Source organism: Homo sapiens, chromosome 1 (genome assembly GCF_000001405.40).
Source record: "Homo sapiens chromosome 1, GRCh38.p14 Primary Assembly".
Taxonomy (NCBI): Eukaryota; Metazoa; Chordata; class Mammalia; order Primates; family Hominidae; genus Homo; species Homo sapiens.
Genome location: NC_000001.11, coordinates 88,019,585 through 88,042,458, shown reverse-complemented (window position 1 = coordinate 88,042,458; position 22,874 = coordinate 88,019,585). Strand labels below are relative to the sequence as shown.

Here is a 22,874-nt window from a genome sequence, read left to right as displayed (position 1 = left end):
CATAATATATACTCATATATCCATCAATCTGGCTATTCATTAATTCATTTTACTTTTTAGAAATATGTCAACATATTTCTCCTTAAATATTTCAGCATCCATTGCATTAGAGTTCAATCCTTTTTGCACATTTTAATGTAAAATTTGTACAGAATAAAATGCACAAATATTAAGTGTATGTTTGGTGAATTTTGACAGATTCTGTGTAACTCAAGTTCTTACAAAGATATAAACTATTACCATCAGAAAATCTTTAATAGAATTTTTAGTCAATTCCTTCCTTTATGCTCTCAAAGTCAAAAGTTGTCTTACGTTTTTCTACCACAAATTAGTTTTGTTTGTCTTAGAACTCCAAATAAATGAAACCACACAGTGTGTACTATTTTATGTAAGACTTCTCTTAGCACAGTTTTTGATATTCAGCCATGTTGTGTGTTTCAATAGTTTGTTCTTTGTATTGCTGAGTAACATTCCATTGTATAAATATACTACAGTTGATTTATTCTTCTATTTACATACATATGGTTGCTTTCAAAATTTAGCTATTTTGAATAAATCTGAAATTTTATTCAATATTTTGTTTCAGATGTTTGCATGTATGTCTATGAGGGATATTGATTGGTAATTTTTTTACAATTTTTGTCAGCTATTAGTATTAGGATTATACTGGCCTCATAAAATGAATTACTAAGTGTTCTGTCTTCCTCTAATGTCTGTAAACCTTTGTATAAGCTTTGTACTTTTTCTCCTTATATATTGCACATAATTCACAAATGAAACCCTAAAGACATGCAGTTTTCTTTGTAGAAAGGCTTTAATAATTGGTTTATTTATTAGACATAGGGATATTTAGACTTTCAATTTCTTCATATGTTGATTTTGGTAAGCTACCTCTCTCTGCTCTCTGCTTCCCCAGGATTTCTTTATTTCATCTAAGTTGTCAAACTTATTGGGTAAATGTTTTCAAAGATTGTCTCATTATCCAATGTCTCTAGGACCTGTTGTGATAACTACACTTTCATTCTTCTTGCTGGTTTATTTTATCTTATATTAGTGTAGCCACTCTGGCCTTGTTACGCTTACTGTTCCTTTGGCATATCTTTTCCATCACTTGCTTTCAATCTAATACATTCAGTCTATTAAATGTATCTTTAAATTTAATATGTATTTGAATGTATCAACTCATTTAAATTGAGCTTCTTGAAGATAGCAAACAGGTGAGTCTCGATTTTTATACGTTTTGATAATCTCTGACTTTTAATTGGAGAGTTTAGTCATTTATATTTAATATAATTGTTGATAGGATTGGGTTTACTTCCCCTATTTTATGATGTGTTTTTTGTTTGTCCTCTATGTGTTTTGATTCTCTGGCCCTATGTTTTTGTCCTCTTTTGGATTTTAAAATGGCATTTAAAAATGCCATTTTTTCTATTGGCATTTTAGATATACTTCTTTGAATTTTTTAGTGGTTGCAGTATAGATTAAACTACAGGTCTTTACTTTTTCACAGTAGAGTTAATCTTGTGCCATTTCACATAAATTCAGATAATTTGCAACTGTTAAGTTGCATATACTGGACCATATTTATAGGACTTTATGTTGTTCTCCACCCCCCATATTTTTCCTGTCATGGATTTATGCTTTGCTTATATGTACATTATAAACCATATGAGACAAGGTTATGATTTTTGCTTTAAATATTCATGCAAAGTTTTTTTTAAAAGAGGAAATTGAAATAGTAATTTAAGATGTTTTTGCCATTTTCAATGCTCTTAATTCCTTCTGAGGATATGAGAAAGAAGGATATTATTTCTCTTCAGCCTCAGAGTTTCCTTGGCAATTCTTTTAATTTATGTCTGCTGGCAGCAGATTGTCTTAAAGGTTTTTTTCACCTGAAAATGCATTTTCCTCCACATTCTGGAAGAATATTAGTGCTGGATATAGAACTCTTGGTCGACATTTTTGTTTGATTTTTTGCTTTTGCTTTCACCAGCTTAATACTTTCTCTGCTATCTTCCATGATCCAAGGTTTCTAATAAGTAAACAGTAAAATAATTCATTTTAATCTGATGTGTATAATGTTTAATTTTTTTTTTGCTTGCTTTGAAACATTTTTTCTTTTGGTTTTGTATATTTTTTTCTATTATACCTAGGTATGATTTTCTTCATATTTTTCCTGTTTGTAGATTGCTGAGTTTCTTAAATATTTAAATTTATGTCTTTTACCGTTTTGAAAAAAATTAGCCATTATTTCTTCAAAATCAATTCTGCTCTCTTCTCTCTTTTTTTGTCTGACACTCCAATTACACATACAAATAGATCATTTAATATTATCCCATAGGCCAATAAAGCTTTCTTTCTTTATTTTTTGATCTTTATGTTTTCTAGTTCTTAGAGTGAATAATTCCTATTGATCTATCTTCAAGTTTACTGGATATTTCTTCTGTCTTCTCTTTTCTTCTGCTAAATGCATACACTGCATATTACATGTCAGACATTTATAAGTCAGATATTTTAAGTTCTATAGCTTTCTTTATTTGGTGTTGCATATATTTCTCTGCTGAGGTTTCCTATCTCTTCATTCATTGCAACTATCTTTGTATTTACAGCTTTAAAAGAGATATGGTAACTGCTTTAAAATCCCTATATGCTAATTCCATACCTAAATCATTTTGAGGTTGATCAATGTTGGTTATCTTTTCTAGACAATTGGTCACATATTCCTGTTTCTTTTCATGTTGTGCCTTTATGGATTCTAGACATTGGGATTGCCATGTTAAAAAGAGAAGTTAGGTCTTCTTGTTTAACTGAACCCTTTACCATTATGTAATGCCCTTCTTTGTCTTTTTTTTAAATCTTTGTTGGTTTAAAGTCTGTTTTGTCTGAAATTAGGATTGCAACCCTTGCTGTTTTCTGATTTCCACTTGCTTGGTAAGTTTTTCTCCGTGGATGTCATTGCATATTAGATGGGGCTCTTGAAGACAGCATACCATTGGGTCATGATTCTTTACCTAGCATGCCACTCTGTGCCTTTTAATTGGGGCATTTAGCCTGTTTACATTCAAGGTTATTAATATGTGCAGATTTGATCCTGTCATTGTGTTTTTAACTGGTTATTATGCAGAATTGTTTGGTTACTTTATAGCATCAAGAGTCTATGTACATGAGTGTTTTTCTAAGTACACTTATGTAACAGTCTTTCCTTTCCACATTTAGCATTCCTTTCAGGACCTCTTATAAGGCATGTCTGGTGGTAACAAATTCCCTCAGCATTTGCTTGTCTGAAAAGGAACTTACTTCTTCACTTATGAATCTGAGTTTGACTAGATACAAAATTCTTGGTTGGAAATGCTGAATATAGGCCCCAAATCTCTTCTAGCTTGTAGGGTTTTTACTGAAAGGTCTGCCGTTAGCCTGATGGGGTTCCCTTTGTAGGTGATCTCCCCTTTCTCTCTAGCTTCTTTCAACATTTTTTCTTTCATTTCAAGATTGGGAATTTGATGTTTATGTGTCTTGGGGACAGACTTCTTGTGTAATATCTCTTGTAGGGGTTCTCTGCATTTTTCAAATTTGAACATTGGCCTCTCTAATGAGGTTGGGGAAGTTTTCATGGATGATATCCTGAAATATGTTTTCCAAGTTACTTGCTTTCTCTTTCAGGGATGCCAATGAGTTGTAGATTTGGTCTCTTTATATAGTCCCATATTTCTTGGAGGTTGTATGTTCTTTTTTACTCTTTTTTCTTGATTTTTTCTGACTGAGTTATTTCAGAGATCCAGTCTTCAAGCTCTTAAGATTCTGTTCCTCAGCTTGGTCTATTCTGTTGTTAATACTTGTGATTGCATTAAGAATTTCTTGCAGTGTGTTTTCCAGCTACATCAGGTCAGTTAGTGTGTTTTCCAGCTACATCAGGTCAGTTTGCTTCTTTCTTATAATGGCTATTTTGTCTATCAGCTCCCATACTGTTTTATTGTAATCCTTAGATTCCTTGGATTGGGTTTCAACTTTCTCCTTATTCTTGGGGATCTCGGTTCCTATCCATATTCTGAGTTATATCTCTGTCATTTCAACCATTACAGCCTAGTTAATAACCCTTGCTTGGTGTATTAGTCTGTTCTCATGCTGTTATATATAAGGACATACCTGAGACTGGGTAATTTATAAAGGAAAGAGGTTTAATTGACTCAGTTTCACAGGGCTGGGGAAGCCTCAGGAAACTCATAATCATGGCAGAAGGGGAGGCAAACCCGTTCTTCACAAGGCAGCAGGAGAGAGAAGAATGAGCAGAAGGGGAAAAGCCCTTTATAAAACCATCAGATCTCATGAGAACTCACTCACTATCACGAGAACAGCATGAGGGTAATTTCTGGGCTATGATTCAGTAGATGGCACTTAAGCATAATGGCCAGTAGGTAGGCTCTTGCTCAGCCACGTGGCTCCTCTGTATTTCTTCATGATTGCATCCGTGCTCCCTCTCAGTGCTCTGAAAGTGTGGGCTCCTCTCCCACTGGAGTGCTAGCTGCAGATCATGGCTTGACATTCCCAAGCTGCACACTGCAGCTCTGAGCTGAGCTCAAGCTTTCCTTAGCAGTGGTTGTTGCAGAAGGTCTTTCACTTTTCTCTTGGGACTCCACTCCAGAGAGATGTGGAGCTGCTATCCATCACCTGAGGTGGGATGGCTGCACTGTGGGCCCAAGCTGTGGGGGCCCTGCCTGGTGATTGGAAGGGTTCAGGTGGCTCCCATGGGAGACAGACTGGCCTCTTCTTTTTACGACAACTGAAGCTTGCTGGAGGTATGATCAAGGCACTCAGGTTCTTTGCTCCTTCCCCAGTCTGAGAGCAGCATGGGAAATACCACTGCAGTGGCAGCAGCAGTGGCAGAAGGGCTTTTGGTTGCCTCTGGGAGCTCCACCTCAGAGAAATGTGGAGCTGCTGCTACTGGAAATGTTCAGCCAAGGGGTGTGGCTGCTGCACTGCTGGTGTGAGCTATGGATTCTACATGTTGAAGAGCTGGGGGTCCAGGGCTCATATGGAGGACAGACTGGTCCCCTCGCTGTATGGTGACTGTGGCATGCTAAAAGTGCGAGTGAAGGCCTTGGGCTCTTTGTTTCTTCCCCAGACCAAGGGCAACAGGAGCAGAACCACTTCTGTGGCAGTGGCAGAGGGACTGTCAGTTGTCTCTGGGAGCCCCTCTCTAGGTAAACTCTGAGCCACTACTAGTGGGTATGCTCAGCTGTGGGTGGGGCAGCTAATCTGCACTCCTGAGCTGGTGGCCCTGCCTGGTGAAGAGTTACGGGTGAAGGCTCACAGGGAAGAGAGACTGGGCTCCTCTCCATGTGGTTGCTTCTGTGTGCTGGAGATGCCAGTGTAGCGACTAGGTCCTTGATTCCTTCCCCAGAATGAGGAGAGTTAGGGTGGTACCACTGCAGCTGCAATGGCGAGGGGCTGTGAATTGTCTCTAGGATTTGCTCCTCAGAGAATTGCAGAGCTGCCTCTGACTGAAGTGTTCAGGCAGGGGCAGGGTTGTTGTGCTGGAGTCTCCGGTCAGGAGGCCCCACCCAGTAAGGAGAAGTCGGGATGGGGACCCACGTGGAGAACAGCCCAGCCACTATTCCACAGGGCAGCTGCACTGTGCCAGGGATCCACGCCAGTCCCTAATCACCGCACAACCTCCGGGGCCTGAGGGCTGCCAGACGGCAAATATGGTGGCCTGCCCCTCCCTCTGGGAGTGCTGCCCCAGGGAAGTACAGAACTGCCACCCAAGAGCCCCCACAAGGGGTGGCTGGGATCCCAGCTTGGGAGGTCCCGCCAGTGAGAAGCAGAATTGAGGACCTGCATAAAAAATAGTCTGGTTGCTTTTCTGTGGAGCAGCTGCACTGTACTGGGGCCCTGCACCATCCTCTAATCATTGCACACTCTCCAGAGCCTGAAGGCAACAGCAGCTAAGGCTGTGAAGTAGCAAAAATGGTGGCCTGCCCCTCCCTCTGGGAGCTCTGACCCACGGAAATGTAGAGCAGCTACCAGTGGAGGGCGGTTAGAGTCTCAGGTTGGGACGTCCTGCCCAGTGAGAAGAAGCGGGATTGAGGACCCACATGAAAAACAGTCTGGCTGCTTTTCTGTGAGGTGGCTGCACTGTGCTGGGGGTCTGCTCCAGTCCCAGGTCACCAGGCACTCTCCAGAGCCTGACGGCAACAGCGGCAAGGGCTGCCAGATAGCAAAGATGGCAGCCTGCCTCACCTGCTGCGCACTCTGTCCAAGAGAAGTGCAGAGCTGCTATGGGCCTGAGAGCCCCAGCTGGGGGTGCCTGTCGTCCTAGGCCAGTGAGCTTTATTTTGTGAGGTTCAGTGGAGGCAAAGGCCTGCAGTCCATCACTGCTCAGCCCCCTGGATTTGCCCTTTTCGTGGGGGCATGCAAGGGAGCCCGACTTACCCCATTGCTGGAGCTGGAGCTGCTAAGGCTGGGATGCCCAGGGATCCAATGCTCTGGGGACTCCACATGTGCCTTAGTGGCAGCTCTGCCCAGGCACTGATATAGGCAGAAGACAGCCAAATGCCTAGGCAGATAGGGAAAGGTCCCTGTAGAATCTCCAACCCACCCTACAAGTCTTTACACCAGATGCTTTGTGCAGATGGGGAACCCGCACAGGCAGCTTGTCTGGGCATGCCCCTCGAGCACTGCCGGGAATGGGGTGGAGCCACCAGGAATTCGCGCCTTTGGCCAGGGAGGAGCCTGGCCTCCTCAACTCCCGTGTAGTGGCCTGACATTCAATTCTGTGAGATGGAAGCTTGGGTGCAGGACCCCTCTCTTTGTTGAGAGCTTTCCTTTTGCTTAATAAATTCCGCTCTCCTCACTCTTCAATGTGTCCTTGAGACAAGAACCCGGATTTAGCTGAACTAAGGAGCAAAAAATCCTGCATAAGCACCACATAGGTCTTCATATCAGTCTGAAGGCCCTGGTGGGATGAGTTCATGAGGGGATCTCTTGAGCCCAGGGTTGCAAAGGTCTGTGTCAGAAATAGGAGTCGCCAGGGATGCTCACTCACTCACTGATTCCCTGCTGTGGTGGAGCCTCCCCTGGTTCTGTGCCACTCCCCATGGGCAGTTGTCCAGTCTCGCTCCTCTCCATTCTCCACCGGTAGAGCTGATTCCTTGATTAATCCCAAGGTGTCCATCTGCATATTTAAGTTGAAAATCTAGTATTTACGCCTCTCTTTTTCTTTTCTGTGTCAGAGCGGCACATGATAGCTGCTTCTAGTCAACCAACTTGAAGCCCTAACCGAGTACTGATATTTTCATTGTAACAGGCAATTAAACTGATTGTACTGAAATTACAAATGCTGTTCCTTGGGCAGCAGCTCAAATACCAGTTAAGAGTTCCTTTTCTTTTTAGTTTTGTTTGTTTATTTGTTTTAACCCTTATGTGTGCTGCTTTGTGTTTGTCTCAGGTACATGTGGTTCAGGACTCAGCAGGAAATTTAAGCTGAGTCTATCACAGAACTTGGTACCTCTCCAGCTTGAAGTATCTCTCATTTCTAATATTTCTCCCTTACTCTTCAACAGCTATGGTTTTCCTGAACTTAATCCTCTGGATCTTCAGAGCAGAGAAAGTGTGAGTTTCCTTTATTCAACTTCAGCTTTTCCTCAGGCTAAAATTCCTAAAACAGAAAATTCAATGCATGTAAGACGCGTTTTCCAAGTTTATGGTCCACTCCACCATCTGTCTTGTTTTGTTCACGTTTTTTGAAGTTGTTTGTTTTTGTAATTATCTAGAGTTGTGGTTGATGTATTTAAGAATGTCAGACTAGTAGGAGCTTGATCAGCCTTTTAGGAACCAGAACTCACTTCAAGCTATCTTGAGCTTATATGCCATCAATCTTAAAATATGATGAGCTGAGCATGTCCTTAAAGTCCCAACTGCTTGGGAGGCTGAGGCAGGAGAATTGCTTGAGTCAGGAATTTGAGGCTTGTACAGTGTGCTATGATCATGCCTGTGAATAGCCACTGTACTCTAGCCTGGGCCACGTAGTGAGACCCCTATCTCTTAAAAAATAAAATGATAGCATGCAATTCAATAATTTTTAGACAGTTTTATTTAGATAAAATCCACATACCATAACATTCATCCTTTTAAAGAATACAATTCATGTTTTTTACTATATTCACAGTTACACAGTAATCACCATTATCTAGTTTTAGTACATTTTCATCACCCTACACAGAAACTCTGTGACTATTAGCAGTCATTCCCCATTCACCCTCCTTGCAGCCGCTAGAAATCACTAAACTGCTTTCTGACTATATGGATTTTCCTATCCTGAATACGTCATAGAAATGGAATCATAGAATATATGCTTTTTTGACTGGCTTCTTTCCCTTAACGTAATGTTTTCAATGTTCATCTATGTTGTGCATGTATTAGTAATTCATTCACTTTTATTGCCAGATAACGTTCCATTGTACAGATATGCCACATTTTACCTATACAACAGTGGATGGACATTTGGGTTGTTTCCAGTGTTTTGCTATTATGAATACTATGAACATCCCAGTACAAATATTTATATGTACATATATTTTCATTTCTCTTGGAATATAATTATGTGGGGGGATGACTAGGTCATATGTTAAATCTTTGCTTAACTTTTGTAGGAACTGTCAAACATTCCAAAGAGGCTTCAGTATTTTACATTCTTAACAATGTATTACGGCTTCAGTTTCTTCACATTTTTGGCAACACTTCTTATTATTTGTCTTTTTTATTTTTGTTATCCACTATAGTGAGTGTGAAGTGTGTCACATTGTGGTTTTAACTTATATTTCTCTGTTGACTAGAAATGTTAACCATCTTTTTATGTGCTTGTTGACCATTAATGTATTTTCTTTGGAGAAATGTCTATTCTAATCTTTTGCCCATTTTAAAAAATTGGAGTATTTTTTATTTTTATTGTTGAGTTATAAGAGTGCTTTGTATGTCTTGAACAGAAGTTCTTAGGAGATAAATGATTTGCAAATATTTTCCCCCATTCCATGGGCTGTCTTTTCACTTTATTAATGGTGTCTTTTGAAAATGCAAGTTTTTACATTTTAATGATGTCCAATTTATCTATTTTTTTTTCTTTTCATAGTTGTACTTTTGGTGTCATATTTAAGAAGCCATTACCTAATCCAAGGTCAATGAATAATTATCATTATTGTTTTCTTCTAAGAGTTTTATAGTTTTAGCTCTTATATTGTAGACTATGATCCATTTCGAATTAATTTCTGAATGGAATGTGAGATAGGGGTTCATTTCCATTTTATTTTACATGAAAATATCCAGTAGTCTCAGTGCCAATTTTTGAAAAGATTTCTTTTCCCCTATTGAATTGACTTGAAACCCTTGTGAAAAATCAATTTACCATAAATATAAGAGTTTACTTCTGAACTTCCAGTTCTATTCTGTTGTTTTATCTATGTCTACTTAGGCCAATACCACGCTGTCTTGATTACTATAGATTTCTGGTAAGTTTTGAAACTGAGAAGTGTAAGTCCTCCAACCTTGTTCTTTATTTCAATATCATTTAAGTTATTCTGGGTCCCTTGCATGTCCAAGTAAATTTCAGGGTAAGCTTGTTAATTGTTGCAAAAAATGAAGCAGTAGGAATTTTAATAATAGTTGCATTGAATTTATAGATTAATTTAGGGAATATGGCTATATTAATATTATTGTCTTCCAATTCATGATCATAAGATGGTTTTCTGTGTATTTCCATCTTCTTTAATTTCTTTCAACATTATTTATAGTTTTGCCTACAAGTTTTGCACTTCTTTTGTTCTTTTAAGTATTTTATTCTTTTTGATGGTATTATAAATGGATTGTTTTCTTGATTTTATTTTCAGATTGTTCATTGCTGGTGCATAGAAACACAATTGATTTTTGCAGATTGATCTTTTAGTCTAAAACTGTGCTGAGACACTGATTAATTCTGATTTTTTTTTTCCTGAATTCCTCAGGATTTTCTGTATACAAGATGATTTGGTGGTATTCTTTGTGCAATCTAACTCAGATAACTGTCAACGCTGTGTTTTTTATAGATGTTCTTTACCAAGTTGAGCAAGCTTTTTTCCAATTCTAGTTTGTTTAATATTTTCATCATGAAAAAATACTGGAATTTGTCAAAATCTTTTTCATGTCTATTTAGATGATCATGTGGTTTATTCTATATTGATATGATGCATTTTGTTAATTGATTTGGGATGTTAAGTCAATCTTTTATTTCTGGAATAATTCAAATTGGTTATAGCAATTAATCATTTTTATATATTGTTATATATTGCTAGCATTTATACATTGTCAGAATTTTATTGAGAATTTTTGTATTTGTATACTTAAGGGAAATTAGTTTGTGGTTTTCTTATAATGTTTTTATCTGATTTAGAGATCAAAGTAAAACTAACTTCAAAAATGAGCTAAAAATATCCTTTTTATGGAAGCATTCATGGGGATTTGCTATTAAGTCTTCTTTAAAAGTTCAGTAGGATTGATTAACGTAGCCATCTATGCTTTTGCCTTTTGTTATGACAAGCTTAAAAATTATTAATTTTATCTCTTTCCTTGTTATAATAGCTCTATTCAGATTTTCTATTTCTTTTTGAGTCAGATTTAGTAAATTCCATCTTTGTAGGAATTTTGCCATTTCATCTACAGTATCTAATTTGTTGGCATATAATTGTGTATAATATTCCCTTATAATGCTCTTTATTTCTGTAAGGTCAGTAGTAATGTTCCTTCATTTATAACTGATTTTGGTAATTTGAGTCTTTCTTCTTTCTTTTCCTGCTCAACCTAATTACAGATTTGTCAACATTTTTGATTTTTTCAAAGATCAGCTTTTGATTTCATTGATTTTCTATATTGTTTTCCAATTTTCTGTTTCATTTATTTTAGTTCTAGTCTTTATCATTTTCTTCTGCTGCTTGCTTTGAGTTTAGTTTGTACTTCTTTTTATTTTTTTAAGGTGAAAGTTTAGGTTATGGCTTTCAGGTCTTTCTTATTTTTTAACGTAGGCAGTTATTATAGCTATAAATTTCCCTCTGAGCACTGACTTAGCTACATCCTATCAGTTTTATTACATGTTTTTGTTTCCATTTTCATGCATTCATCTAAAAAATTTTTTCCTTTTCTTTTTCTTTCTTTCTTTTTCTTTTCTTTTTTTTTGTTTTTGAGACAGAATCTCGCTGGAGTGCAGTGGTTCGATCTTGGCTCACTGCAACCTCTGCCTCCAGGGTTCAAGTGATTCTTGTGCCTCAGGCTGCTTAATAGCTGGGATTACAGGCGTGCGCCACCATGCCCGGCTAACTTTTGTATTTTTAGAGGAGACGGGGTCTTGCTATGTTGACCAGATTGGTCTTGAACTCCTGGACTCAATTGATCTGCCCGCCTTGGCAAGCAGATACTACCTTTTAGTTTAATTTTATTTTGTTCTTTGAATGGTATTTGACTTAAAATCTTTGTCTTGTAAGTCTAATATCTGTAGGGTTTTTTCAAGCCCCAGTTTCTATTGATTGTTTTCTTTCCTATGTATTGGACATGCTTTTCTATTTTTTCATGTGTCTTGTAATGTTTATTGAAACCTGTATATTTTAAATTAAATAGCATGTCAACTCTGGGAATTAGGTCTCTGCCCCTTTCCCAGAGTTTGTTGTTGTTTCTTTTGCTGTGTGTCTGTTTCTTTGTTTAGTGACTTTCCTGGATGAATTCTGTAAAGTCTGTGTTCTTTGTTGTGTGCAGCCACTGAAGTCTTGTCACCACTCAGTTATTTTGGTAGTCGGATAATGATTGCACAGAAATTTCCTGAAATGCCTTGAACCAATATGTCTCTCACCCTTTGCAGAGAGGCCTAGCGGTGTGGGTTGGGGTATGCTTTCAATGCTCTAGCAGTTTACAGCTATGCTTTATCTCTCATTTCTTGCTTGCAAAGAGCCTTAGTTCAGCCATGGATAAGCGATCTTCTCAAGTCTTTCCTTGGCATATTCCAGCCCTGCACATGTACTTCTAGATTCCCAGGAACATGTTAGAGCTTTTCAAAACTCCTTATGGAGGTCTCATTTTCCTTACTTCCTTTTTGTTTTTTGGCCTCTTGATTATCCCAACTGGTGTGGTGACCTTAGGTAGCTATGATGTGTAGCAGTTGCCTCTGATTTTTTTTTTTTAACAAGTGCCCTGAACACAAAATTTTTTCACTCAGTGTGCTCCAAGTCAGTTCAAATAAAAAGACAAACCTTGAGAATGGGATTTTTTTCAGTAGCTCCAAGACAGTTCAAATAATAACAATTCTCTGGGGATGAAGATTTTGGGGGAGCTCCAAATTCACTCTACTCCCTCCAGTGGCTGCTAGACTGCTGTGTTTCACAGGTACTATCATTGCAAACCTGCTGACTTTCAAGCCTCTTACAGAGCTCAGAGAAAGGAAATAGGAATTGGGCAAGTTAAATTGTCAAAAAGCTGAATATTCTTACCAAGACTCAACCAATTTCCTTGAATAAACTTTCCTTGTATTGCAAACCTTTAGTTAATTTCCAGAGCACTTAAAAAGATGATTTTAACAATTATTTATCAGTATTCTTATTGATTTTATGGAGGGGTGGAGTTTTAAAGGTTCTTACTTTGCCAAACTTGCATTCCGATAAATTGAATAATTTACTTAATGTGTAAATATTTGTATTTACTATAGTAATGATAATTTAAGTACATAATAAAGTATTTGTAAATAAAATTTAAAACAAATGTGATAAAAAATAAATACAAATAAAAGTTCTAATATTCCCTCTTATACCTCAATAGAACATCTTTCTGGGATATGAGCTTCCCATTTTGGAGACGTTTGTCAAATTTCACTTCTGGTGTGACTAATATGTATAATTATCTGTATTTTTTAAAGCTTTTAACTTAAATTTAATAAGAAGTATATGTTTAAACCTTCAAACATCAGAGCATATTCAGGAATTCTCTTTTTAAAGCAACGGTAGTAATGAACACAATACTCCATACTCCATGGAAACTTTGGCTCTCACAGAGTAGAGCATGAATCTGCAAATTACAGACTGTAAGTCAAATCCAGCCCACTGGGGGCAAAGTCTGGCCAAGCCTCTCTCTTTTTTTTTTTTTTTAAGTTGCTATTCAAAGGCAGACATGAGTAGTTGCGACAGAGACTGTATGGCCCACAAAGCCTAAAAGGTTTATCATCTGGCCTTTTACAAAAAAATGTTTTCTCATGCATGGAGTAGAACAAGACCCAGAGTTTATACTGGACTTCAGTGGAACAAGACTCACAGTTTTCTCTGAACTTTAGTTCTTCTTAAAACTTGGGATGCAACCAAATTATTAACTGTATTTCAAAGTAAGTACAGATTGTTAAGTCCTACCCCAGGAATCATAACAACAATGAAATATTTACTCTCTGATTTTCATTTCAGCTTGGTAGATGTTGAGCACTGTTAGGAGACTAGTGGTAGATAGCCAAACTAAGCTTCATAAATGAAGGAGAAATAAAAGCATTTGCAGACAAGCAAATGCTAAGAGAATTTATTACCGCCAAACTTGCCTTACAAGAGGTTCTTAAGAGAGTGCTAAACATGGAAATGAAAGAACGGTACCATCCACCACAAGAACACACTTGAGTCCATCAACCATTGGCATTATAAAACAACTACATGATCAAGTCTACATAACAACCAGCTAACAACACGATGACAGGATTAAATTTGCACATATCAATATTGACCTTGAATGTAAATTGTCTAAACATCACACTTAAAAGGCAAAGAGTGGCAAGTTGGATAAAGCAAGACCCAACTGAATGATGTCTTTGGGAGACCCATCTGACATGCAGTGACACCCACAGGCTCAAAGTAAAGGGATAGGGAAAATTCTATCAAGCAAATGGAAAACAAAAAAGATCGGGGATTGCTATTCTTATTTCAGACAAAACAGAATTTAAACCAATAACAATCAAAAAGAACAAAGAAGGACCTTACATAATGATAAAGGGTTCAATTCAACAAGAATTGAAGGACCTAACTATCCTAAATATAATATATATGAACCCAACACTGGAGACACCCAGATTCATAAAACGTTCTTAGAGACTTATGAAGAGACTTAGCCAATGCACAATAATCATGGGACACTTGAACACCCCACTGACAGTATTAGAGCATTGAGGCAGAGGATTATCAAAGATACTCAGGAGATAAACTTGATACTTTACCAAGTGGACCTGACAGACACCTGCAGAACACTTCACCCAGCAACACAATATACATTCTTCTTATCTGCGCATGAAACATATTCTAAAATCAACCTTGTGCTGGGTAACAAAGTGATGCTCGACAAATTATAAAAACCAAAATCATACCAACCACATTCCCAGACCACAGCACAATAAAAACAGAAATAAATACTAAGAAGATCTCTAAAACAATATGATTACATGGAAATCAAACAATCTACTCCTGGGTGACTTTTAGATAAACAGTGAAATTAAGGCAGAAATCAAGAACTTCTTTGAAACTAATGAAAATAAAGATACAACATACCAGAATCTCTGGAACACAGCTGAAGCAGTGTTAGGGGGAAAGTTTCTAGTGCTAAACACCTACATCAAAAAGTGAGAAAGATCTCAAATTAATAACCTAACATCACAACTAGAGGAACTAGAGAAGCAAGAACAAACCAATCCCAAAGCTAGCGTAAGAAAAAAAAGATGAAAATCAGAACTGAACTGAATAAAATTGAGACATGAAAAACCATACAAAAGATCAATGAAACCAAAAGTTGATTATTTGAAAGTATAACTAAAATTAAAAGACCACTGGCTAGACTAATAAAGAAACAGAGACGATCCAAATAAACACAATCAGAAATGAGAAAGGAGATATTATCACTGACTCCACAGGAATACAAACATCCCTCATAGACTACTATGAGCACCTCTATGCACACAAACTAGAAAACCTAGAAGAAATGGATAAATTCCTGGAAACATATGACCTCCCAGGATTGAACCAGGAAGCACAGTCCAATAAGGAGTTCTGAAATTGAAACCATGAGCAGACCAATAACAAGTTCTGAAATTGAATCAGTAACAAAAAACCCACCAACCAGAAAAAGTTCTGGACAAGAGAATTCACAACCAAATTCTACCAGACATATAAAGAAAAGGTCGTACCTCTTGAAACAAATTCTAAAAATTGAGAAATAGGGACTGCTCCCTAACTCATTCTATGAGGACACCATCATCCTGATACCAAGCCTGGCAGAAACACAAGAAAAGGAAACTTCAGGCCAATATCCTTAATGAACATAGATGCAAAACTCCTCAATAAAATACTAGCTGATATGGTTTGGCTCTGTGTCCCCACCCAAATCTCATCTTGTAGCTCCCATAATTCCCATGTGTTATGGGAGGGACCCAGTGGGAGATGATTGAGTCATGTCAGCAGGTCTTTCCCATGCTGTTCTCATGGTAGTGAATGGGTCTCACAAGATCTGGTGGTTTTAAAAATGGGAATTTCTCTGCACAAGCTCTCTCTATGCCTGCTGGCATCCACATAAGATGTGACTTGCTTCTCTTGCTTTTCCGCCATAATTAGGAGGTCTCCCCAGCCACGTGGAAGTGTAAGTCTAATAAACCTTTTTCTTTTGTAAATTGCCAAGTCTCACATATGTCTTTATCAGCAGCGTGAAAACTGACTAATGCAATAAATTGGTACCAGTAGAGTGGGGTGCTGCTGAAAAGATACCCAAAAATGTGGAAGCAACTTCGGAACTGGGTAACAGGCAGGGGTTGGAACAATTTGAAGGGCTCAGAAGACAGGAAATGTGGAAAGGTGGGAAAGTTTGGAACTTTCTAGAGACTTGTTGAATGGCTTTGCCCAAAATGCTGATAGTGATATGGACAATAAAGCCCAGGTTGAGGAGGTCTCAGATGGAAATAAGGAACTTGTTGGGAACTGAAGCAAAGGTGACTCTTGTTGTTTTGGCACAAAGACTGGTGGCATTTTTCCCCTGCCCTAGAGATTTGTGGAACTTTGAACTTGAGAAAGATGATTTAGGGTATTTGGTGGAAGAAATTTCTAAGTGGCAAAGCATTCAAGAGGTTACTTGAGTGCTGTTAAAAGCATTCAGTTTTAAAAGGGAAAGAGAGCATAAAAAAGTTTCGAAAATTTGCAGCCTGACAATGAGATAGAAAAGAAAATCCCATTTTTGACAAGAAATTCAAGCTGGCTGCAGAAATTTGCATAAGTAACAAGGAGCTGAATGTTAATCACCAAGACAATAGGGAAAATGTCTCTAGGGCATGTCAGAGACCTTTGCAGCTTCCGCTCCAATCACAGGCCTGGAGATTTAGGAGGAAAAAAATGGTTTCATGGATGGGCCCCAGGGTCCCTCTGCTGTGTGCAGTCTAGGGACTTGGTGCTCTGTGTTCCAGCTACTCCAGCTGTGACTAAAAGGGGCCAAGGTACAGCTTAGGCTGTTGCTTCAGAGGGTGGAAGCCCCAAGCCTTGGCAGCTTCCACATGGTGTTGGGCCTGTGGGTTCACAGAAGTCAAGAGTTGAGGTTTGGGAACCTCTGCCTAGATTTCAGAGGATATATGGAAACACCTGGATGACCAAGCAGAAGTTTGCTGTAGGGGTGGGGTCCTCATGGAGAACCTCTGCTAGGGCAGTGCAGAAGGGAAATGTGGGGTCAGAGCACCCCCATAGAGTCCCTACTGGGGTACCATCTAGTGGAGCTGTGAGAAGAGGGCCACTGTCCTCCAGACCCCAGAATGTTAGATCCATTGACAGCTTGCACCATGCACCTGGAAAAGTCATAGACACTCAATGTCAGCCCATGAAAGCAGCCAGGAGGGGGTCTATACCCTGCAAAGCCCCAGGGGCAGAGCTGCCCAAGGCCATGGGAGCCCACCTTTTGCATCAGTGTGACCTAGATGTGAGACATGGAGTCAAAGGACATCATTTTGGAGCTTTAAAATTTGACTGCCCTGCTGGATTTCGGACTTGCATGGGGCCCGTAGCCCCTTCGTTTTGGCCAATTTCTCCCATTTGGAATGGCTGTATTTACCCAATTCCTGTTCCTCCATTGTATCTAGGAAGTAACTAACTTGCTTATGATTTTACAGGCAGAAGGGAATTGCCGTGTCTCAGATGAGACTTTGGACTGTGGACTTTTGAGTTAATGCAGAAATGAGTTGAGACTTTGGGGGACTGTTGGGAAGGCATGATTGGTTTTGAAATGTGAAGATATGAGATTTGGGAGGTGCTGGGGTGGAATAATATGATTTGGCTCTGTGTCCCCACCCAAATCTCATCTTGTAGCTCCCATAATTCCCAGGTGTTGTGGGAGGGACCTGGTGGGAGATGATGGAATCATGAAGCAGGTCTTTCCCATGCTGTTCTCATGATAGTGAATGGATCTCATGAGATCTGATGGTTTTAAAAACAGGAGTCTCCCTGAACAAGCTCTCTCTTTGCCTGCTGCCATCCACATAAGACATGACATCCTCCTCCTTGCCTTCTGCCATGATTGTGAGGCCTCCCCAGCCACATGGAACAGTAAGTCCAATAAACCCTTTTGCCTGTATAAATTACCCAGTCTTGGATATGTCTTTATCAGCAACATGAAAATGGACTAATACACTGGCAAACTGAATCCAGTAGCACATCAAAAAGCTAATCCATCACTATCAAGTAGGCTTTATCCCTGAGACACCAATTTGGTTTAACATACACAAATCAATAATGTGATTCATGAGATAAACAAAACAAAAAACACAGGATCCCCCCATAGATGCAGAAAAGGCTTTTGATAAAATTCAACATTCCTTCTTGTCAAAAGCCATAAAAAAACTAGACATCAAAGTAACATGTCTCAAAATAATAAGTCATCTAAAGACAAACCCACAGCCAACGTTATACTGAATGGGGAAAATCTGGAAGCATTCTCCCTGAGAACCAGAACAGGGTTAGGATGCCACTTTTACCACTCCTTTTCAATATAGTACTGGAAGTCCTAGCCACAGCAATGAGGCAAGAGAAAGAAATAAAAGTTATCCAAATAGAAAAAAGGTAAAACTGTATCTCTCTGCCGATGATATGATTCTACACCTAGAAAACCCCATGGTCTCTGCCCAAAGGCTCCTAGATCTGATAGACAACTTCCGTAAAGTTTCAGGATGCAAAATCAATGTATAAAAATTAGTAACCTTTCTATAAACCCATAATGTCCAAGCTGAGAGCCAAATCAAGAGTTCAGTCCCATTCATGATGGCCATAAAAAGAATAAAATACCTGGGAATACAGTTAACCAGGGAGGTGAATGATCTCGACAATGAAAATTATAAAATGTTGCTGAAAGAAATAAGTGGTGACACAAATAAATGGAAAAACATTCCATAGTCATGGATAGGAAGAATCAATATCATTAAAATGGCCACACTGCCCAAAGCAATTTACAGATTCAATGCTATTCCTATCAAACTACCAACTTCATTTTTCACAGAATTAGAAAAAGACTATTATAAATCTCATATGGAACCAAAAAAGATCCTGAATAGTCAAAGCAGTCCTAAGCCAAAAGAACAAAGCCATAGGTATCACGCTACCCAACTTCAATCTATACTACAAGTGTAAAGTAACAAAAATAGCAGGGTACTCGTACAAAAATAGACACATAGACCAATGGAACAGAATAGAGGGCCCAAAATAAAGCCACACATCTGCAACCATCTGATCTTTGACAAAGTTGACAATAAGAATCGATGTGGAAAGGCTTCCCTGTTGAATAAATGGTGCCAGGATAACTGGCTGGCCATATGCAGAAGATTCAAACTGGATCCCTTCCATTTACCATGTACAAAAATCAACTGAAGGTGGATTAAGGATTTAAAGGTAAAAACCTAAAACTATAAAAACCCTAGAAGAAAACCTAGGAAAACCATTCTGGAATCTGGAAATGACTTCATGAATAAGACTCCAAAAGAAATTGCAACAAAAACAAAAATTGACAAGTGAGACTGATAAAGTTTGGATATTTGCCCCCGCCCAAATCTCATGCTGAAATGTAATCCCCAGTGTTGGAGATGCGGCCTGGTGGGAGGTGTTTGGATCATGGGGGCAGACCCCCCATGAATGGTTTGGGCCACCCCTTGGTGATAAGTGAGCTCTCCCTCTGAGTTTACATGCAATCTGGTCATTTAAAATTGTGTGGCACCCCCCCTTCCCCACCCTCTATTTCTCTCTTGCTCGTGCTTTTGCCATGTGAAGTGTTTTCTCCCTCTTTGCCTTCTGCCATGAGTAAAAGCTTCTTGAGGCCTCCCTAGAAGCAGATACTGGTGCAATGCTTCCTGTACAGCCTGCAGAACTATGAGCCAATTAAGCCTCTTTTCTTATAAATTACTCAGTCTCCTGTATTTCTTTATAGCAATGCAAGAATAGCCTAATCCAGAAAATTAATACAGAGGAGTGGGACATTGCTATAAAGATACTTGAAAATGTTGACATGGCTTTGGAACTGGGTAATAAGCAGAGGTAGGGAGAGTTTGCAGGGTTCAGAAGAAGACAGGAAGATGAGAGGAAGTTTGAAACTTCTGAGACTGATTAAATGATTGTGACCACAACGTTAATAGTAATATGGACATTGAAGTCCAAACCGCTGAGGACCTGCGTAGAAATGAGGAACTTACTGGGAACTGGTACAAAGGGCACACGTGCTATGCCTTAGCAAAGAACTTAGTTGTGTTGTGTCCATGACCTAGAGATATGTGGAAGTTTAAACTTGAGAGCAATGATTTAGCATATCTGGTGGAGGAAATTTCTAAGCAGCAAAGTGTTCAAGAGGTGGTGTGGCTGCTTTTAACAACCTACATTCAGATGTGGGTGCAAAAAAAATGGCTTAAAGTTGGAACTTATATATTTAAAAGGAAGCAGAGTGTAAAAGTTTGGAAAATTTGCAGCCTAGCCATGTGGCAGAAAAACAAAAAGCGTTTTGGGATGAGGAATTCAAGCAGGCTATGGAGCAACCACTTGCTAGAGAAATCTGCATAACTAAAAGAGAGCCAAGTATTGATAGCAAAGACAATGGGAAAAAGACTTTGAACACATTTTAGAGACTTTCACTGCAGCGTCTCCCATCATAGGCCCAGCAGCCTAGGAGGGAAGAATGGTTTCTTGAGCCAGGCCCAGGGCCCCACTGACCTGTGTAGCCTTGGGACACTGCTTCCTGCATCCTGGTTGCTCCACTTTGAGCATTGACTTAAAGGACCCCAGATACTATTCGTGCTACCACTCCAGAGAGCTCAAGCTGCCATAAGCCTTTGTGGCTTCCATGTGTCTTCCTTTGTGGCTTCCAAGCCTGCAGGTGCACAGTTGTGCAAGAGTGAATAAGGTTTGGTATCCTTTGCTTAGATTTCAGAGGATGTATGGAAAAGCATGAATCCCAGGCAGAAGCCTGCTACAGGGGTGGAGCCCCCACAGAGAACCTCTACTAGGGCAGTGCCAAGTAGAAATGTGAAGTTGGAGCCCTCACAGGGCACTTCCTAGTGGAGCTGTGGGAAGGGTGCCACCATCCACCAGACCACAGAATGGTAGATCCTCTAGCAGCTTGTGTGGGCCACCTGAAAAAGCTGCAGGCACTCAACAACTCATGAAAGCAGCTGTAGGGGCTGTACCCTGCAAAGCCACCAGGGTGGAGCTGTCCAAGGCCTTGGAAGCTCAGCCTTTGAACTGGTGTGCCCTGGATGTGGGACATGCAGTGAAGGGAGATAATTTTGGACCTTAAAATTTAATAGCTGCCCTGCTGGGTTTCAGACTTCATGGGGTCTATAGCTCCTTTCTTTTGTCCAATTTCTCCCTTTTGGAACAGGAATGTTTACCCGCTGCCTATATCCCCATTGTATCTTGAAAGTAAATAACTTGTTTTGATTTTACAGGCTCATAGGTGGAAGGAACTCATTTCCAGATAAAACTTCGGATTTGGGACTTGGGACTTTTGAGTTAATGCTGGAATGAGTTCAGAGTTTGCAGGGACTATTAAGAAAGGATTATTGTATTTTGAAATGTGAGAACATGAGATTTGGGAGGGGCCAGGAGCAGAATGATATAGTTTAGATATTTGTCCCTGCCCAAATCTCTTGTTGAAGTATAATCCCCATTGTTGGAGATGAGCCCTGGTTGAGAGGTGTTTGGATCATGGAGCAATCCCTCATGAATGGCTTTGGCTATTCCCTTGGTGATAACTCTCCTTCCCCACCCTCTCTCTCTCTCTTGCTCCTGCTTTCACCATGTGAAGTGCCTGCTCCTGCTTTATCTTCTGCCATGAATAAAAGCTTTTTGAGGCCTCCCTAGAAGCAGATGCTGGTACACTGCTTCCTGTACAGCCTGCAGAACCATGAGCCAATTAAACTTCTTTTCTTATAAATTACCCAGTCTCAGGTATTTCTTTATAACAATGCAAGAATGGCCTAATACAGGGATCTTATTAAACCAAAGAGCTTCTGCGCAGCAAAAGAAAATATCAACAGAGTAAATAGACAACCGGCAGAAAGGGAGAAAATATCTGCAAACTATCCATCCAAAAAAGGTCTAATATCCAGAATCTATAAGGAACTTAAACAAAATTAATAATCATAAAACAAACAACTCCATTAAAATTCGGCAAAGGATATGAACAGACACTTCTCAAAAGAAGACGTATGTACAGCCAATACGCATATAAAAAATGCTCAACATCACTAATCATTAGAGAAATGCAAACCAAAACTACAATGAGATCTCATTTCACACCTGTCAGAATGGGTATTATTATAAAGTAAAAAATCTGCAGATGCTGGTGAGGTTGTGGAGAAAAGGGAACGCCATACACCACTGGTGGGAATGTAATTAGTTCAGCCACTTTTAAAAGCAATTTGGAGATTTCTCAAATATCTTAGAACTACCGTTTGACCCAGAAATCTCATTACTGGGCATATTCCCAAAGAAATATAAATTATTCCACAAAGATACATGATGCATGCATATGCTCACTGCAGCGCTATTCACAATAGCAAAGACATGGAATCAACGTAAATGCATATCAACAGTGGACTGAATAAGGAAATGTAGTTCATATACACCATGGAATACTATGTAACCATAAAAAAGAATGAAATCCTGTCCTTTGCAGCAACATGGATGGAGCTGGAGGCCATTATCCTGAGCAAATTAGCGCAGGAAAATACTGCAAGTTCTCACTTATATGTGGGAACTAAACATTGAGTACACATAGACAAAAAGAAGCAAATAATAGATACTGGAGCCTACCTCCTAGTGGGTGGAGGGAGGGTGAGGATTAAAAAAAAAAAAAGACATCAAGTACTATGCTTATTACCTGGCTGATGAAATAATCTGTACATCAAATTCCCACAACACACAATTTGCCCATCTAACAAAACTACACATATGCCTCCTTGAACCTAAAATAAAAGTTGGAAATCAAACAAACAAACAATCCTTTGTGGTTTCCTTAAACCCTACCCACACTTTTATAAACAATTCCTGTATTTAACTCTCTTAAATTATATTAATTTGGGTGTTCCTTCCCATTCAGCTGGAAATCTAATACCTGAAGTCTTTCTACTCTTCGAAGTCCTAAACTTTCAGTCCATTCTTTCTCCATATTATACCTTTTGTCCTCAAAAATACTATCTTTCTCTCTCTGTTTTGTGCTATCCTGAAATTTAATAATTCTATCTCATATTTTTTAACGAAGTTGTTAATATAATTGTAAACAGTTTAGAGATGAGAATAATACCCGTAGAAAGTTACTACAACACTCTCTCCATCTCTCCTGATTGA

The 22,874-nt window shown here is 39.1% G+C and overlaps 3 annotated features.

The window, feature by feature from the left end:
* Positions 4,335-5,035: an enhancer, noted in NCBI's record as "H3K27ac hESC enhancer chr1:88503107-88503807 (GRCh37/hg19 assembly coordinates)". NCBI's record gives its function as "activates a minimal SCP1, AML or CMV promoter by ChIP-STARR-seq in primed H9 embryonic stem cells {active_cell/tissue: H9 hESC(primed)}" and the evidence as "EXISTENCE:reporter gene assay evidence [ECO:0000049][PMID:30033119]".
* Positions 6,174-7,373: an enhancer, noted in NCBI's record as "MED14-independent group 3 enhancer chr1:88500769-88501968 (GRCh37/hg19 assembly coordinates)". NCBI's record gives its function as "activates an origin of replication core promoter dependent on BRD2, BRD4, P300/CBP and CDK7 cofactors, and independent of MED14, by STARR-seq in HCT116 cells {active_cell/tissue: HCT116}" and the evidence as "EXISTENCE:reporter gene assay evidence [ECO:0000049][PMID:35650434]".
* Positions 6,440-7,141: an enhancer, noted in NCBI's record as "H3K27ac-H3K4me1 hESC enhancer chr1:88501001-88501702 (GRCh37/hg19 assembly coordinates)". NCBI's record gives its function as "activates a minimal SCP1, AML or CMV promoter by ChIP-STARR-seq in primed H9 embryonic stem cells {active_cell/tissue: H9 hESC(primed)}" and the evidence as "EXISTENCE:reporter gene assay evidence [ECO:0000049][PMID:30033119]".